Source organism: Homo sapiens, chromosome 7 (genome assembly GCF_000001405.40).
Source record: "Homo sapiens chromosome 7, GRCh38.p14 Primary Assembly".
Lineage (NCBI taxonomy): Eukaryota > Metazoa > Chordata > Mammalia > Primates > Hominidae > Homo > Homo sapiens.
In genome coordinates, this window is record NC_000007.14 from 138875270 (window position 1) to 138895403 (window position 20134).

The following is a 20134-nucleotide window of genomic DNA, read 5'->3' on the forward strand; positions in this document are numbered from 1 at the left end:
AAGCAAAAAACACATCATGTTGTACACCATAAATTTATATGTTTTCTTACCATCAGTTAAAATACAAATAAAAATCTTAAAAAGAAAGAAAAACGCTGGGCATAGTGGCTCATGCCTATAATCCCAGCACTTTGGAAGGCTAAGGCAGGAGGATCGCTTGAGCCCAGGAGTTCAAAACCAGCCTGGGCAACATGGCAAGACCTCGTCTCTACAAAAAGTAAATAAAAAGTTAGCTGGGCGTGGTATGCTCCTGTAGTCCCAGCTACTCAGGAGGCTGAGGTGAGAGGACTGCTTGAGCCCAGGAGGTCAAGGCTGCAGTGAGCTGTGATTGTGCCACTGCACTCGAGACTGGGTAAGCAAAAAAATAAAAAATAAAAAATTACAGCATATGGGATTGTATAGAACAGGATAATGTCAACAAAGCAGAATGAAAGAGAATAGTTCAGCCTGAATTACTAAAATGACAAAGCAAGAGAGCATTTTTAAAGAAATATTATTTCATTATCTACAAGTAAACACAGTCAAACCACTTTTTTTGTCCCCCGAGACAGGGTCTCGCTCTGTCACCCAGACTGGAGTGTGGTGATGCAATCACAGATCACTGCAGCCTCGACCTCCCAGGCTCAAGCGATCCTCCCACCTCAGCCTCTTCAGTAGCTGGGACCACAGGCACACACCACCAGGCCTGGCTAATTTTTTCTGTTTTTTTTTTTGTAGAGTCAGAGTCTCGCTACGTAGCCCAGGCTGGAAAACCACATCTTTACTAATGTGCGCAACCCACGTTAACATCCTGTGAGACAGCAATCACATTTATCTCATCTTCATTGTATATCACCAGCACCTGACCACAGGCACTTAGCAAGCATTTGCTAAACGGATGACTCAATGACTACAGTCATCTCCACTATGTTTATAAAATTTTACCTTGAAAAGGTCTCTAGGAATCTGCCTTCATGAAAAGATAAGAATTCTACTTTATGATCTCAATCATTTTATAAATGGTACAGTACTCCAAAATTACTTGAAAAACTTCATTGTTATATGTACTCAATCTCATTTAAACTATTTTGCAAACTCTTTTAATTTTTTTAAAATATGGAATGCTTCCCCAATATGCATGTCATCCTTGCACAGGGGCCACGCTCATCTTCTTTGTTGCCTTTCAATTTTAGTCTATATGCTGCTGAAGCGAGCACTGCAAGCTCCTTAGCACATGCAAAAGTCAGTGTCAGCTTGGTTTGCACATGAAATTCTAGAATTTGGAATTTGTGGAATTCAAATGAAGTTTTAACTACTTAAAAATCACACACTTGCACACATGCAATCTAAGGAGAGCATAAAAGAATGCTGAGTATTTTGCAATCCTTACCTACTTGGTATATTCCTGATGATAAAGGGGAGCGAGAGAAAAACTACAATTATGCACAGACGCAGCAATGGCAGCCCATCTCCTGCCTCATCTCTCCCTTCACATCTTCACTAAGGGGATCCAGTGGTTATGATTTGAGTTATTTTAAAGCTAGAATAGCTGGGAACACAGTGACATCTGAGTAAATAATCTCTTAAGGGTTCATGGATGGCCATGAGGGTATGTGTCAGGGCCTAGTCACCTTCCAAAAACAGTCAGCTGGAAAAGGAATAAAGCACAACCTCCAATTTACCAAAACTGAAACAACAGTGTTCTCTCAGCTTCCATTGCAAGGTGGGTCCTTAATATGCCACATGACCTGGGACAGTCGTCAACAGCCTTGCCAAGAAGCCTAAAGAGAGCCGGTAGCTGTACCACCCGCAGGAGTGAGAGGGAACGCTGGTCCCATGGCAACATGGAAGAGGGCTCCATAATGGATCTCAAGCAGCCTCCCTCCCCGCTCCCCACCTCCATTAATTTTTACTTCATTACGACTTTCAACAAAAGAAATATTTTTATGTGAATTATAAAACAGGCCGAACATGGTGGCTCACGCCTGTAATCCCAGCACTTTGGGAGGCCGAGGTGGGCAGATCACATAAGGCCAGGAGTTCAAGACCAGCCTGGCCAACATGGCAAAACCCCATTTCTACTAAAAATACAAAAATTGGCCAGGTGTGGTGGTATACGTCTGTAATCCCAGCTACTCGGGAGGCTGAGTCATGAGAATCGTTTGAGCCTGGGAGGCAGAGGTTGCAGTGAGCCAAGATAGCACCACTGCCCTACAGCCTAGGCAACAGGAAGAGACTCTGTCTCAAAAAGCAAAAAATTTTAAAAAATAAAATAACTGAAAGCTAGGAGAAAAACTCAGAATATTTTAAAATAGGATATTTAATTTTCTATGCAAGCAATAAAATACCTACACAGCAGCATTAAAGCTATCTAATGGCACCTTTCAAGAAGTAAAGTTCTAAAAGTAAATTGATATTTATAGTGAGAAAACTATCTTTCTACAACATGAAAATAATGTACAGATTCTGCTATCTCTTCAAATTGTAACAGCAGCATCTGAGCTTCTAATATTCACAAAATCATCTAATTCGCTTCTTTCCTTCACATTCAAGCTCTCGGTCCCAGAGCTGTGATGCTTACTACCTGGATTCTGAGCCTATGTTGAGAGTGGTGTTTGATTTTTGTTATTCTTATAGAATATACTGGCTGTAATACCATCAGAAGGCATTAAATGCAGGCACTGAAAGTAAGGTTTTCTCAGATAAGCAATGAACAGAACTTGGAAAAATCCAGAGCTCTTTCCACGCCCCCCCAAATATTTCTTTCCAAGGATCAAAACGAGATTCTAATCCTGTCTATCTGAAACAGTATCGGTTACCATGGTGCTAAATAATTTTTAAGATTTTGAAAAACCACATCCAAAGAAAAAACTCTTCCCTTTTTCTAAGGGGATGTCCTTAACATTACAAAAGAACCAAGTGGAAGGAGCTGGAAGGAACTTCAAGGACCAGCTAGTGCAGCCCCACAGGAGCCTTGAAGGCTGAGCAACCCGCGAGGCCACAAGCGTGTCAGTGAGAGGAGACAAGGACAGGCTAGGGCAGCCCCACAGGAGCCTCAAAGGCTGAGCCACCCGCGAGGCCACAAGCGTGTCAGTGAGAGGAGAGGCCCCTGGGCTTCTGTCCAGTCTGTTCATTTCTAGAATACAGTTCACTCTGCACTGCATTTCCATACAGAGAAATTTATGATTAAAAACTGTAAGTATAAAAATTCCTATTAAAAATAATATCCTGGCCGGGCGTGGTGGCTCATGCCTATAATCCCAGCACTTTGGGAAGGCGAGGCGGATGGATCGCTTGAGTCAAGGAGTTCAAGACCAGCCTGAGCAACACGGTGAAACCTTGTCTCTACAAGAATATACAAAAATTAGCCAGGTGTGATGGCAGAGGCCTGTAATCCCAGCTACTAAGGAGACTGAGGTGGGAGGATCGCCTGAGCCTGAGAGGTCGAGGCTGCAGTGAGCCGGGACTGTGCCACTGCACTCCAGCCTCAGTGATAGAGCAAGACCCTGTCTCAAAAAAAAATAGTAATAATAATATTCTGAGGCCTCCCAATGATCTTTGCATTACTGAAATTCAATCCTTAAATAAAAATAAACCTCCAGCAAATACAACAGCTGCAGTAGCACATCTATTTAATACAACCTGTTACACTAAAAACAAGCTACCTTGCTATCACTCCAAAAAAATGCTCCCAAGTCTAAAGACTTGTGGGTCTCACTTTATTACAGTGCATCAGCCTTAACAGTCATACCCTTTAGAACAGGAGTGAAGTTCATTTTATACCTGGCCTGTGAAGCTGTCTGTGACTCCCAAAGTAAACATGCTAAACCATCTGATCACACTAAACCACCTGGTGGAAGAAAGATCTAGGAACAGAACTTAACATAATTGACTTGGGCCTATGATAAACAAACAACTTTCTGACTGACAGTTGTGAATCCTGGAATTGGTTCCTAAGAAAGCTATTGAATCCTGGGGGCAGTTTTTGAGACTCTGGTTTCAGTGTGCTTCCTCCTTGACCTCTGGGCAGGCAAATCGTGAGGACTCTTAACTAGAGTGAAGCGAGGCTATTAACCTTAAGACGTACCCCAGTGAATCCCTGGCCCCAAAGCAGACACCAATACCACGTTAGATGGTGACAACTGGTGCTAAGAAACCACAGGAATGATGAATTTTCCATTTCCCAGATTTCTTTTTTAAGGGTTTAGCATTTGAAATACTGTAAGGCCCCAGCCTTTGGACTCTCATAGGGACTACTTTTAATGGGAAGAACCAGAAGAGTCACAGACCGCTCTGCGGAGCTCTGTGGGACCTGCCATCGTTGACGGCTCCCGGCGTCTTATCTCCTGCGTCCCTCTCGCTGGACTCTTCACTGACCGTAGAGTCAGCATCTGAGGGAGAAACTCTGCAGACACAAAATGAATTGCAAACATTAGAAACAAGAAAGAATGAAAAGGAAAAAGTCCCATTAATTTGTGTGTGGAAGTCAGGCTTCCAGGCAAAACCAGCAGAAATGAAACGGTCCAAAAAATTATTCCATAGCACAGCGTCTTCAAGGATCACATTAACACCACAGTCACCTCCTGAAGACAGATTAACACGGCTTACTAAATGGCTCAGCAGGCTGCATTTCAACAAATGCTAGACAATTAAGTGCCAGATAGGAGGAAGGTCCCACAGTTACCAGGGCTCAAGGCCCAGCCCCTGGCCCCTAGTCTTTTCTGGACCAGCAGTCTGGGTTTAGCATGAGTTGGATCAAACAGGACCTGGGGTTCACGATTAACTAGGTCTGCAGAATCCTCAGGATGCTAGAGTAGCTATGCAGTCACCCCAAATAACTCCAGATCTTTGGAAGGTGCTTACACTGAGATCTGATTCTTTATATAAAAAGCAAGAGTACTGTGGCACCCAGCTTGCACCAGGGAAAATTCCTTCATCAGTTGGCTCCCTGGCTTCAATGACAATGTGGAATGCCAAGACATTCTGGTGCCCAGAAAGATGCTAAAACATTGTATTAACCATGCAGACCATTGAGCTATCATGACTAAATGTCAATGACAAGGCTACCAGGCAAGAAAAAAAAAATACTTTGCAAAATTTTACTTGCATATTAAATAATCTTCAATGATTCCATTTATTCTTAGCCTGCAAAATAATTAATCAAATAGCATCTCTCTACATAACTCATTTTCTTTTGTAAAGATCATGTTCTGACATCTATTACACTCTTATAACTAGGCCAGAACCCCTGGGGTAGGTTTCCTGATAAGACAGAAGTCATGACATCGTTTCAAATGTTGATATGATCACACACTTTTTTTTGCTCTTAGCAGGAAATCAGGATTTGGCGTTCCAAAGCTCAAAGAAAGGCTGACAACAGGAGGCTTCAGTAGCCAAAGCCTGACGGTGCGATGATGGAAAGTCAACTTAATAAACCCGATTCTGAACTCTGTCTTCTTTCACAGAGCTACAGCCCTTCTCACAGGGTCAGAGGGTGAGAAGGGGCTTCCAGGTAGCCTGGAAAACTAATAGGCAATTCTCCATGTGCTATACTTTGAGAGGGGGAATGGGGAGCGAGGCAGGGAGGAGGCGGTGAAGAGTCTTGTGTGATATCCTGACAAAGGTGACATACATAAGCAGCCAGAGAAAAACAAAGCAAACGCAGGAGGATGTGATGAAGGTCACCTGCAGGCAAAGCAATGAAGTCACAGCAGCTGCTGGCATCCCAGGCATGGACACAGCAGTCCACACAGGCTGAGCGTGTACCATGTGCTGTGCACTCCTTCTATGTTATTTCTGATATTATCTCCATGAGGCCTAGCATGCTCCCCTCAGGATATATACACATGAGCTGGTCAATCTCTAATCAAGTCTGATGGGGACCCCTAAACCATCACAGATAGTGATTCATGATCTTCAACCGTGTGGGGAAAGAAATCACACAGCCTTCTTTGGCAGCCCGTGAGAGTGGCTCGGAAACACTCTTGGGCTCCTGTGTGACTTTGGGCAAGTCATCAGTCTGCTGGGCTGCACATGCAGGGCTGCGCTCACCATCAGCCCCTGTGACATCAGAAACTCACAGCCTGATAACAGAAGCATGCTCTGCAACAAAGAATAATACAGAAAGCCCAATAATAACCTTCCTCTGTGACGAACATTCTTGGAAGGGATCTTTGACTTGGGGCTTGGCACGTCTCCATTTTCCGAGGGCGTGGTGTGGTCCTTCAGAGGTCCTGGCAGTGGCGCTGGCTCATGAATAATCAATATGTCGTCTTTATTGTGCTGACCCAGATGCTGCTTAGCAAAATCGAAGCCCTTCACACTAGGGATCTGCAGCTGAAACATACACACACACAAACAAGATTGTTAACCCGGAATCCAAGGCTGATGAGAGGAGCACAACTTCTGACCCAAGACTGTGCTGGCAATTCCACAACTCCAATCCAACAAGCATCGCTAGAACATGGACTGCATGCCAGGTTCTGTTTATACCCAGAGTTCCAGGAGAAGACAGGCACTTGTGAAAGATTAAACAAGAGTACACGGATTAAATAGCTAGACCCTAGGACAACACCTGACCTGCTATCACAGCAGCATACCATGTGCCATGTGGCAGGAGCAAGATATTCTTTATAGGGTAATGGGGACCAAAGCCAGGCCTTGAGAACAGACAGGACTTGGAAACAGAAAGAGGAGGCTACAAAGAGAATGTTCTAGATCATATCAGGAAGCAGAGAACACTGAGGACTGGGAAGAAATCACATTGGCTATGCTAGATGGGTCAGAGCATAGGAGCACGAGAGAAAAGTCCAGTCCGTATATGGATGACTCCAAAAACGCCAGCTTCTGGAGCTGGCCCTCTGGGAAACCAGAAAACCACTAAACATTTCTAAACAGGCAGATTTCTAAAATACAAGCACACAGGACACCAAGGAAGCAGGAGGAGAGCCTGGCCATGCGCATAAAACCACAAAGACATGAGCCCCAAATCTTAGCAGTGAACATGGGAAGGAATGAACAGCTCTAGGGATCAGGCAGAAAGACCTAGAAGCCAAATAGACAAGAGAGGCAAAGGAAGAGAAAGAAGCCATTGAGGACGTGAATTTCACGTGAAGAGTGAAAGTGACGTTAAGGGAAAGAGGCGAGTCATATAGGAATGATGGCTCGAGACAAAATGACAGGTTTCATTTCAAACACGCTTAATTTGAGGCCCCAAAGGATGTCAGCTTGGTGTAGCTGGAGGTGAGGAACCATAGCCTGGGGGAACTTGCAGGCTCAGATGTGACTTCAAGAACCACCCACATAAAGGAGACAGGTAGGGGAGCTGAGTTTTTCAACATAAATACAGATTCTGTGGATAAAGTGTTGGAGAACATCTAATAGTTTGGGGCTAAGAAGAGAAAAAGGAAACAAGGAAGAAAATAGAATGTGATTTCAAAGAAACAGAAGAATTTGGAAAGTTCCATGTAGTAGAAGCAAAGGGAACAAAGAATTTCTAGAAAGAAGTAGTCAAAAGAAGTAATGGGGCACAAAACCGAAGGAGAAAGGGCTCTTCAAAAACGTGCCCCACTCAAACCAGTGGATGCAGGATTCCTCTCCAGGGATACAAGCATCACCCCACACCAAACCCATGACAGACCCCTGAGCCTGCAACTAGGGATGCCAGGCCTCAGCTTCTAGAGCTGTGGTAAGATATTATGTCATCAAACATGCTATTTGTTGGCTGGGCACGGTGGCTCACATCTGTAATCCCAGCATTTCGGGAGGCTGAATCGGGCAGATCACCTGAGGTCAGGAGTTCGAGACCAGCCTGGCCAACATGGTGAAACCCCATCTCCCCTAAAAAAAAAAAAAAAAAAAAAAAAAAAATTCAGCCAGACATGGTATGGTGGTGCACACCTGTAATCCCAGCTACTCGGGAGGGTGAGGCAGGAGAATCACTTCAACCTAGGAGTTGGAGATTTCAGTAAACTGAGATCGCGCCACTGCACTCCAGCCCAGGTGAAAGAGTAAGACTCCATCTCAAAAAAAAAAAAAAAAAGCCATTTGTTATTGTTCACATTTCTTTTTTTTTTTTTTTTCTTAAGACAGTCTGGCTCCATCACCCAGGCTGGAGTGCAGTGGTACAATCTCGGCTCACCACAACCTCTGCCTCCCGGGTTCAAGTGATTCTCCTGCCTCAGCCTCCCAAGTAGCTGAGATTAAGGGTGCACGCCACCATGCCGGGGGTAATTTTTTTGGTATTTTTAGTAGAGATGGGGTCTCACTATGTTGCCCAGGCTGGTCTCAAACTCCTGGTCTCCAGTGATCCACCCACCTTGGCCGCCCAAAGTGCTAGGATTACAGGTGTGAGCCACTGTGCCCTTGGAAAGACCCTCCAAGGTATGTAGAAATGTGGACAATAACAGTATTTCTGATGACATGAAAAGTGTCAAGGTATTAACAGTTTCCTTAATTCAAGCTTGCAAAGCACAGGGAAATAAACTGCACAGCAATGGTCGTCCCAAGGGGTCTCCTCCATGGAATGCCAAAAGCAAACCGAAGCCTTCCCTCCTGCCCAGGCATATTCCACATCCACACAGTGACACTCTGAAACACTTCTCTGGTCTTCATCCCAGTTTCCTGGTGTACACCGCCTAAAATACGTGGAGTCTCCTGAGGATGTCTTTTTACAGGCTAATGAGTTGACTGATGACCAGCAGCCCCAAGGTAGCTGCAGGATGGGGGCTGCTCACCACAGAGCCCCAGGCATGATACAAGGGTCAGGGCATTCAGCCCCACCCCCCAACCTTCAGGGAGGGAAGAGGGGCTGAAGGTTAAGTTGATCACCAATAGCCAATGGTTAAGTTGATCACCATAGCCAAACAGGCCTATGTAAAGCAGCCTCCTGAAAAACGCAAAAGGGCAGGGTCCAGGGAGCTTCTGGAAGGCTGAACACTGTGGAGGTTCCTGGAAGGTAGCACCCCCACGGAGGGCACAGAAGCTCTGTACCCCCGATTCCCCCCACACCTCACCCTATGCATCTCTTCATTTGTGCGCTTGCGCTTTGAAATATCTGTAAACTAAGAACAAAATCCTAAGCCCCCAACCTACTGAACAGGCCCCCTCTTGGCCAAAGGGACTTCAGAGAAACCTGAAAAACCGAGTTCTTGGCTGTAGCAGGAAGGGAGGTGGGACACGCATCATTACAGCCCTTCCCTTGTAGAGTTTAGGCAAAACTGACCAGCATTAATATTAAAACCGAGATTATAAGACAGATAGAACAGATTCTTTGTGGTAATAAGATACCAAATTATAAACAAGACCTAAAGCCATGCAAAGGAGTGTTAAGTCACACCTACGAACAATAAAATCTGGTTAAATTGTTTTTGTTTTTGTTTAATTAACCCGGTATAATGTGGCTTACTTTCTAACCTGACTCTGGTATAGCATCACATGGCAGACAGCAGACCCCTTATCTTAACTTAAGCATTCCTTTGAAGTGACTTTCGGTCTTTAGACAAAACTTAACTCTCTCAACCAATTGCCAACTAAAGAATCCTGAAACACACCTATGACTTGTAAGCCCCTCAGTTCAAGATATCCCGCCCTTTCAGGCCGAGCTTCTATGTATTGGGTTATTTCTTCTCCTGTAACTCCTGTCTCCTTAAAATGTTTATGTGGAGGGCCGGGCACAGTGGCTTACGCCTGTAATCCCAACACTTTGGGAGGCTGAGCCGGGTGGATCATCTAAGGTCGGAAGTTTGAGACCAGCCTGACCAACATGGAGAAACCTCATCTCTACTAAAAATACAAAATTAGACGGGCGTGGTGGCACGTGCCTGTAATCCCAGCTACTCGGGAGGCTGAGGCAGGAGAATAGCTTGAACCAGGGAGGCGGAGGTTGTGGTGAGCTGAGATCGAACCGTTGTACTCCAGCCTTGTACTCCAGGTGGATTGTAATCCACCATTGTACTCCAGGGGGACAAGAACAAAACTCTGTTTCAAAAAATAATAATAATAAAAATGTATATGTGGAGTCCTGATAAGTAACAATGCGGAAGGGGTCCCACGTAGGGCAGAACAATTGTTCTGAGAAATGGCTCATCACAGACAACCTGCTGGCATGACATCCTGTTTCCAAACACCTCATTCTGCTCATAGCCCTAGCAGCATGACCCATAAAACTTCCCTCCTGCCCCCGTCTCTTGCCCGACAGCCCCTTCTCTGCTGTGCTGGCCACTGCACCCTTGCAACATTATCTTCATACATTCTCTAATAAATCTGGCTTTCTTTACCTGCAGCTGTCTTGGCCTTTACCACCCACAACGATGGCCCCAGCCAGACACAACGGCAACCGTATCAACCCAAATTGTAATCTGACCGCCTTGGGCCATTTACTCACAGCTTCTTGGGCTCGTGCTTTCTCAGGGCCATGGTCACTCATACTGGCTTGGAATAAACCTCTTTAAGATATTTTACAGAGTCTGGTTTTTCTGTTAACATATCCTTTGTGATAAACTGGTAAACAAAAGTAAGTGTTTCCCCAAGTCCTGTGAACTGCTCTAGCAAATTAATCAAACCCAAAAAGCGATGGTGGGAACCTCAACTTGAAGCCAGTCGGTCAGAAGTTCTGGAGACCTACACTTGTGATGGGTGCGGGTGGAGGAGGACAGTCTTGGGGACTCAGCCCTCCACCTGTAGGATCTGAGGCTACCTCCCAGTGGACAGTGTCGGAACTGAATTCAAGGACACCCAGCTGATAACTGCTGCTTGGTGTGTGAGGAAAGCCCCCCCCCAAATTCGGTCACAGAAGTCTCCTGTGTTGACTGTTGTGTGGTGTGAGAGCAGAGGAGAAACATGGTTCGAGTTTTTCCACTCACACACACACCCCTACAGAGTCCTGTCAGTCAAAAGACAAAGGCCAAACAGATCTAAGGAGTGATTTTAGACAATATATTACACACAGAAACAAAAGGCTTTGTCTTATTTGTGCTAACTTTATGCACAAATGAGTGACAACATCAGTGGCTTAGGTCTGTGACCTAAGGTCTTTTTTTTTCATTTGATGTGGTCTCGCTCTGTCACCCAGGCTGGAGTGCAGTAGCACAATCTCAGCTCACTGCAGCCTCAATCTCCCAAGACCAAGCAATCCTCCCACCTGAGCCTCCCAAGGAGCTGGGACCACAGACATGTGCCATCACGCCTGGCTAATATTTTAAAATTTTTTTGTAGAGACAGGATCTTGCTACATTGCCCAGCTGATCTGGAACTGCAGGGCTCAAGCAATCCTCCTGCCTCAGCTTCCCAAAGCGCTGGGACTACAGACGTGAGCCACTGAGACCGGCCTTAAGATCTTTTATAAGCTGAAATTCTCGGATCAATGGGTAGAAGGAATGTCATCTGCAATAATGATTTATGCCAGCAGAGGGGGACAAAACTTACAGTAAACACAATTTACAAAAATGAAACAAAAGGCAAAAGCTGACTTCCTGTTTTCTGATTAAAGAGCTCCTGTTACAGGAGTACACCACTCCACCACTTCAGCAGTTCATGAGCATAACAGCCCCTCAGCCTTTTGCAAATGACAAACCCAAACCTGTTGTTCCACTGCATGCCCATTATTATTTATTTAAATAAATGTATTTATTATGATTTATTTAAGTAAATGTATTTATTATGATTTTTTTTTGAGATGGAGTCTCACTCTGTTGCCCAGGCTGGAATACAATGGTATGATGTCGGCTTACTGCAACCTCCACCTCCTGGGTTCAAGCAATTCTCCTGCCTCAGCCTCCCAACTAGCTGGGACTACAGGCGTGCACCACCACGTCTGGCTAACTTTTATGTACATATTTTTTTATTACAGATGGGGTTTCACCATGTTGGCCAGGCTGGTCTCAAACTCCTGACCTTAGGTTATCCGCCTGCTTCAGCCTCCCAAAGTGCTGGCATTACAGGCATGAGCCACCACGCCTGGCCTATTTATTATTAAATATTTATTTAAAGTAAATTTATTAAGCACTTGTGTAAATTATTTAAATTAATTATTAAATATTTATTTACATAAAATAAATTCATCATTAGATGTTTCTTTAAACACATGTATTTAAAACGTATTTAAATAAAATGCGTTTATTTTCTCATCTGTGACCCATGGACTAGCACCCTGAGTTTCAACTGGTCTACCCAAACCCCGGGGAGCAGACACACAGTTTTCTAGGAGCAGGCAGCCCTTTTACAGGGATCATTCCAGATGCACACCTCTGTACAAGTCCTCCCTACACTAGTGATTTTCCTGAGAGCTGTCCAGCATGTGCCTGTGGTCCGGGCAGCATGCTGGCTCCCCCTCCCACCTTCCCTTTCCCAAGTCCTCCCACTTTACAGAAGAGAGGCCCGCCTGTCATCCATGCAGCAGCTTCCTGCGGTGCTCTGCCCAGAGATGTAGAAACCTCGGGAACATCAAATAAAATCACAATTCAAAATGCTGGTCTTGGTCAATCAAGGCACAATAAATTTGTGGTATGGTTTGCTTTCTCTCTTAAAGAACTGAGAGAGAAATACAGCCATGAAATAGGACAATTCGTTCCACGTTGGGAAACTGTGAACTTAGATATTCTGTAGAGGAGGTGGCAGCAGCAGCAGCAGCAGCAGTGAGGTTTTTATTTCATAGCTTCCCCTCGACCATCTCCCAGCCATTGAAGAACAGTTCACTCCCGCAGAAGAATACAAGGAGAACAGGGAAGAGGACGGCAGTGAGAAATGCCAAGGGCATTGTCTCATTTCATCCAGGGGACAAACTCATGGCAGGGCTCTGTGCTTTATCTGTCTATGTGACAACTGTAATCTTCAAGATCTGTTCAGCAGCATGTGGGAAACCCAAGGTGCCACAATGCATATGCTTTCCGTGAGCTCACCATCCTCAGGAATGAAAGCCTGGCAGGCACCCTTGTCCACGGGGACTCAGTTGGGGTCTTAACAACATATTTTGTATTAAAAGGAAAAAGGGGTGAAAAGGTCCATGTTTACTTCCGAAAGATCAAAATTACAACTTCAAAAGAACAAATAAGGGAGAGCTGAGTTAATACTGTATACTTTCCCGCACAATTACTCAGACTTGCAGGATACTTTCGTTCACTTCTTTCAAATGATTGATTACTGGATACTGCACATCTGTGTCCAGGTTGCTTGAATGCAAGTCACTTGTTCACTGGTCCATGACCCCTTTCTCTGCTGGTTTATTTGTTGTCCCTGTGTACTTACTGGATTTAGATCAACTACACAGCAACACGTTTGGATTCTACCATAATGTACTTAACAGCAATCATCTATGTGTCTTTTCTAAACCCCACACTTACTAGTCGAATATTTTTTCCTTTTGTTGTAAATTTCCACAAAGATTCAACTGCTCTCTTGAAAGCAAATCATTGATGTATGTATGGGCAGATGAAAAATTAGGCAGGCTAAGAGGTAACCCTCCTGCACATTAAAAAATCCATTCTGTGTGATTAAGATGATTCCTTTCTCAGACTTTGACATGCGGTCCTAATTTATGAAATATATAATTATAAATATTATTTTCATCTTGAAATGAAATACTAATCCATCTATATAATTCTCAAATGTCCATCTGTCAAGCCTTTTTCAGATGCCTGAGAAAATTGATATTGGATGCCACTTATTCACAGCTGATGATAAAAATCCTAACAGGAGCGATTTCCAATTTTATGGGGTTGCTTTTACCCCAGCAGCACTTCATTTAACTACATACAAGGTGCCTCTAAGCGAAAGAAAACAGATATACTAAACAGTCATTTAATCATCACCTCCATCATTTAATAAACCTTGCTGAAATCCTTTTTGGTATACTTCCCATTAAGAAAGTGAATGCCTCTAATGACTGGGCAACTGTTTTGTTTTGTTTTTAACAAATTAGGTGGTTTGCTTTACCAAAACTGGAAAAGGAGCTACAGATGGCCTCCCCTAAGTGGAGGTCTCCAAAGTCAACAACGTAAAAATACAAACAGTATTGCCTCTATAGGGCGGTCTACGTAGCCCAAGCCTAGGCACCTAAATGTCTTCCCTCACGTACACTCAGGGCCCATGTAGGAAAGAAACATGACAGTATTCATGAAAATGCTTCATAAATGCCAAAGTACCCTACAAATGATGCTGACAGCATTATTATTACTGTTGATTGATGAAACATCGAGCAGTTAATATACAGCTAAGAATTCTAAGGCATCAGAGTTATAAATAAGAATTTAGATACAATATTTTGTTAAGTCAACAACAAGATGCGACACAGGGTCCCTCAAGAAATAGCTGATGACCAGATGAATTTCAAAACGCTCAACTGAAGTACCAAACTGACTGGTTTTTTTCTGGGTAACCAAGAAAACGGCACGTGTCATAAATGAAATATACAAGTCCTCTTGGCTTACTGTTGATTCTGACCAAAGTCTTTAAATACATCCATTAGATCCTTGCACTTCTCACAAACTGAGTGAGTCATCACCTTCTATACCAATAGAAATTTGGCAACCAGTCTGTGCGTATTATGCACAAAACAAAAGCCATCTACACACAGAAGGAAAACCTAGAGGGAACACTGCCCCTCCTCCCTTAGATAATTACCTTCTTTTGTCTCATCTCTACTTGCCAGATCACTTTTTCTAGTTTCTCCACTTCTTTTAAAATAGAACCTAGAGTTCAGTCTGGCTGGTATACAATGTCTCCAGCTCCCTCCCACATGCAGCATAGGTTTAATCAGTATTTTATAAAAGAAGAATCAAGATTAATGAGAGTGTTCAATATTCATATTAGGACCGAGTTATTTCTGAAGAAGGATGGCTCTTTTGTTCTTTCTCTCTTTAACATATCACAGAGGGAACAGGCCACAGTGTCTGTGCCCCACCGGAATACGTCACCAACAAGCCCAGGAGACTGACTGGTGGGCAGGTCAGCCAAGTAATGAGAGAGACGCCTGATGAATGTGAACACGTGGGCCATAAATACAGTACAGCCCAGGTGGCACAAAACGCAGTGAAGCCCACAGTATTCGGGTTAGCCTGAGCCCCTGGGAAGGAGTTGAGATGACAATAGAAACACAGAGCAAATCCCAAAAGTGTCTGAACAAAAATTTGCCATCATGTAGCGAGTGCCATTGAAAGCATTTATTACCTGATTGATGTCATTTGTGAAACGTCACCACAACCACCATGCTGCTTCCATTTAGGAAGTGGAGACAAGGCAAAGTTATTGCCATCTGTTTGTCTTCAGTGCAGCCCCACACGGGCACTCCCGTAACCCTGTGGTCCCGGAGTTTGGGAGAGCAGGGCTCCCAGATTCTCCCACCCACAGGTGACACCCGGCACGGTCAGCCAGCTGTGGGTGAACTGAGACCACCTACACGTTAGGTGTGACAGGCGACCTTTGCAGAGAATCAAACAGCAACCATAGGGAATGAGCTGACCTTGGCTGAGATGGAACGATATGCTCACAGAGCCTCTTTTCAATTCACTGTCCATACTGCCTCCCAAAGGGATCGTTCCAAAAGCAAATGTGTTCAAGCTGCTCTCCCTGCTGAAAACCTTTCAATGCTTGCCCACTGCTTACAGCATAATTTGCAATCCCTTCTATGTCCTGAAAACCCCCCAGGGCCTGGCTCTCTGCCACCTGGCTTTCGGCTGTGCCCTTTTTTATGACCTTTGCTCTAGCTTCCTGAGCTGCCCTCCGCTCCCCCACTGGGCCCGCCTTCATCTCCACCGTGAAGCTTCAGCCCTGGTGTCACCTCCTTGAAGAAGGTAGAAGTACCCCACCACTGCAAATGGGGTGCCCCCCTCCTCTGTGTTCTCCAGACATCCTTATACTCCTGGATGTCTGCTTTCGGATGGCTCGTCCTTCTCCCTTGCTAAAGCCCTGGAATGCAGAGATCGCGTGCTATTTGTGTTGGTAACTGAGCCGGATCTGGTGTGGCTCACAGCAAATGCTCAATGTTTGGTGAGTGACACCCAGTGCCTGAGGCAGCTCCAGCCGGTTGCCCAAAGTGCTGCCCTTTAGAAGCAACCAAGGGCAGTCAGGAGCTCTGGTCTGACACCAGTAACGAGGTGTGGACTATCCCCCATCAGAAGGAATAAGTTTCCATGAGGCCAGTGGCATCCAGCCAATGCCATTCATGATGAAGAGGATCCGGGCTGGAGTTTTTTAGGCAACAGTAACAAATGATGACTTGAGTCTACAGATAGAGAATACAGATAAAAGAAAGCATGGGGTTTTCTTCTTTATTACTGAAAATAAGCAAAGGCTGTGCCTCAAAACAAGACAGAATGGCCTCTCCCTCCTATCATATTTCAAAATTAATCTACTCCCAGACAATCTGAAGAGGTTTCCTTCTCGTTACGAGGGGAAGGGGGGTGCAGATTTTAGGTCAGCAGATTTATTGTTTCCAGATGTTTGCAGCTCTGGGATTTGCTGAAGGATTTCCGAGAGTATGGTGAGGCGCATCAGGAGGTGGGGAGAGCAGAACGGAGAGAGAGACAACAGCCACATGAGCAGGAGACAGAGCTCTTGAAGTCATAGGGGAGGGTGACATCTCTGCACATTACCCTGAGGACGAGGCTAGAGGCCCTTTGCTATGGCCACATGACCTTAAAAGAAACACGTATGAACTAAAGACATTTGTTTTTAAACTAAATGAAGAGATCATTTTCCCATTTTAAACACACGACAAAATCTATAGGGTGGGTTCCTGTGCCAGCAAAACACGACTGAGCTTCTGCAACACTGGCAAGGCTTTGCCCTCCTAACAGTGTCAGAAGACAGTTATTCTTTTGGGGAATCCTCCCTGCAGGACCTTTTCTGTAAACCTGTTGTCAGGATGTATGGGCAGGTCTTTGCAGCCCTGAAGGAAAAAGAGCAGCTCTAAGGGCTGGAAGTTCCATCTGAAACTCTGTCCATTTGATTTACAGCCACATCTGGGACTTGAAAATGTTTAGGAAGTAAAAGTGAGAGAAGGAGAAAGCTTGGGGAATATTCCATTTTGACCCCAAGAGACGCTGTGCTCTGATAATTTACTGAAGTTACAGATAATAGATGGACTTCCATGGCAGTGTATACGTTAGGAAATGTGGCCCATAAAAGACCTAAATACATAACCGTCTACACTGGTTAACTCCCTCTGTAACAACACTCTTCAACAGAACAAAAACATTTCCAAACCTATTGTTGATCTTATTACAGTGAAATTCACACTATGAATCATTTAGTATACCCAGCACTTTTTTTCCAGGTTTCCCCATGCCATTCACCAGTATAACAAGAACAACAAAAGAACCTTAGCAGACTGTGTAAATAATAAACAAAGATAGGCAACAAACATAACATTAATGTATAAAATGCTTTTCATGTACTTGATAGCCATAAGCTTGCAATTTAATAAATACTTTGCATTTTTTTGTTAATTCATATGAAAAGACAAATACTCTTTCTTTGCTTTTACAAAAGTAAAATAAATTTTAAAGTAATGCATATTTTTTTTCCATTCGACAGGTCTAGGTTTGTAATATGCAGAATTTTTCATACCCAAGACAACCAAAATAAAGTTTAAAAATAAATAGGGCAATCTTTTATTCTTTGTTTTTTGACTTTTGCTTGTTTTTATCAAGCTTTTAAAGCAGGATGAGTCCTCCAAATCTGGGAGACCCACGGAAAGTGCATGTTAATCCAGCAGACTGTTAGTAACAGTGGACTGACTACCACGTTCCACTCCCTTGGTAAACACGCTGACTGATACTTATGCTGTACTAGTGAGTGCTCCTCTAGGCCTGGCATGTTTTTGCTCACACCAGGTGAGCTCAATGTTGACCAAAAGTCAATGTCTTTGCTCTGAAACCTGATGTGACCCTCGAATACTATGGAAACTGTTGAAACATACGTTGGAAAAGAAAATTGCTATTTCTATAAACACTTAAGTTGAATGCTTTGGAAAGACATAGGAAAGAGGGGTTACTTAAAAAATCTGCTGTCAAATTAGGTGTGAGTGAATTAACTCAAAAGTCTGCAAAATTAGGAGATAGGGAGTGGGGGGAGGTATTAAAAAAATCGAGAGAACTTTGCATTCAGGTAGCTTTGCTCTTCTCTAAGATAGGGAGTGGGGGGAGGTATTAAAAATCGAGAGAACTTTGCATTCAGGTAGCTTTGCTCTTCTCTAAAGAAACCCAAACTGGAACCTGAAACTGACACGTCATGGGTGTTGTTTATTGTAAGAAAGACCAAACACAATTCCTCTCAGTAGACCAACACTCAAAACAAAACAAGACTTGGGATATGTTGAAGGATTGGCAAATAAATGTCCATTCATATATTTTAAGTTAAAATGTTCAAGGTATGTATTGTTCGTTTTTAATGATCAAGGTGGGTAAGTGGGCTTCCAAATAGGGTGAACAGAAAATAAAGCAACTGACCAATGGAGTTGTACACAAAATAGATAAACAGATCTGAGAAAGTCTGCCTTGGCTCCTATCCTCTGAAAATATCCAGGGATAAAATAAATCAGAATTCGGCCTGGTGCGGTGGCTCATGCCTGTAATCCCAGCACTTCGGGAGGCCAAGGCAGGCAGATCTTTTGAGGCCAGGAGTTCGAGACCAGCCTCGCCAACATGGCAAAACCCTGTCTCTACTAAAAATACAAACACTGGCCAGGTGTGGTGGCACACGCCTGTAATCTCAGCTATTCGGAGACCGAGGCAGGAGAATCGCTTGAACCCAGGAGGCGGAGGCTGCAGTGAGCCAAGCTCACGCCACTGCACTCCAGCCTGGGTGACAGAGCCAGACTCTGTCTCAAAAAATACAAAATAAAATCATAGTAGAACCCGGAGGGCATGTCATGGCTAGGCTTTTATACAGTTTCACATTCTTGGACTGTATTTACTACCACAGAAGGAGGGTTTCAGGAAGCAGAAACAAAGGCAAAGTGATACCACTATTAAAGCCAGAAGATTTCCATAATAGCCCTCCCTCTTCCTCATCTTTCAGTATCAAGAGCCCAAACTCATCCTATCCCTGCCCCACAAAACTGCTTATAGGAACACTGGGGGAAGAGGCTGCCCGTTACCTTCTGACGCTGCTGAATGTTGGCCACAGTGTCAGGCTGAAAGTCTAGCTTGTCTGTGCGGCATAGTTTCCAGTAGAGGATGACAACAATCACCATCACCACCAGCACTGGGATGACCACGCCAACAATGACCCACAAGTTGTTGCTCTGGGATTCCGGAGACGGCCTCTTCACCCTGTCGACAGCTGCAGACAAGGAAGAAAGGTCTTTCAATAATTCCTTCTTCACTCATGCACTAGATTGCACGTGTCTTCTATGAGAAACTCAGAAGTCCCTGACATTCCAGCTCAAGATAGCTGGTTCCAGGTTCTAATCTCCTGATGACAGGAAATGTGACCAGCAGAGAAACACAACATACAATGTTACATCTAGAATACATCAGGGATCACAACGACATATGGATATATCCAAAGGTACATGGCTGAATTAATGGCAAAGCTCAGTTAATTCCAGGTCTCCTGATTTCCAGTTTATTCTACTAGCTCACCCGTAACTTATCACTGCAGGATATTTCCACACCAAAACTGGTTCTGCACAACTTTGTACAAAGGCAGTTCTCTTCAAAAGTGGAGAGAAAAACAGCTGTGTCTCCAGAACATAATCCTGCCCGCTCCATCAAGTACCGCAGGACTCACACCCTCCTAGATCACATAAAGCACATGCATCTCAACTAGGAGTTTATGGAAGAAAACCCTTCATCTCTTTCTCCCTTCCCTCACTACTCCAAGTTTCTCATGTTCACAAATGTTTATTAAGTGTGCTGGACACAGTTTGTAAGCTGGGACTCAACCATGAACAAGCGAAATCCCTTGAGGTGCTTAAGTCCTAGTGGGGGAAAGGAGAAATGATCAAGTAAATGAATCACCGAATAATTTCATATTGCACTAGTGCCAAACACAAAGCAAAACAGAGTAAGGAGATACGACATGTGCACCAGTGCAACTGGTCGTTTCCCCTTCAGCAATGAAAAATGACAAAGAGATGCTGATGTTCGTAGCAGCGCTATTCACGACAGCCTAAAAGATGAAAAGAACTCAAATGCCCATCCACAGATGAATGAAT

At 44.2% G+C, this 20134-nt stretch overlaps 1 protein-coding gene and 1 pseudogene across 2 annotated transcripts in view, besides 1 other annotated feature; both read right to left on the minus strand.

The window, feature by feature from the left end:
- Positions 1-20134, minus strand: part of KIAA1549 — a 150009-nt gene that overhangs the window by 43889 nt on the left and 85986 nt on the right. For both annotated transcript variants that reach the window (NM_020910.3, NM_001164665.2), the window contains exons 10-12: positions 19073-19257; positions 6119-6315; positions 4269-4384 (exon numbers count right to left, since the gene is read on the minus strand). In NM_020910.3, coding sequence (NP_065961.2) covers positions 4269-4384; positions 6119-6315; positions 19073-19257 — 498 coding nt within the window. The remainder of the gene's footprint in view (positions 1-4268; positions 4385-6118; positions 6316-19072; positions 19258-20134) is intronic.
- Positions 1090-1196, minus strand: RNU6-1272P (RNA, U6 small nuclear 1272, pseudogene; annotated as a pseudogene).
- Positions 7239-7318: an enhancer, noted in NCBI's record as "active region_26744". NCBI's record gives its function as "activates an Ori minimal core promoter by ATAC-STARR-seq in GM12878 lymphoblastoid cells {active_cell/tissue: GM12878}" and the evidence as "EXISTENCE:reporter gene assay evidence [ECO:0000049][PMID:35858748]".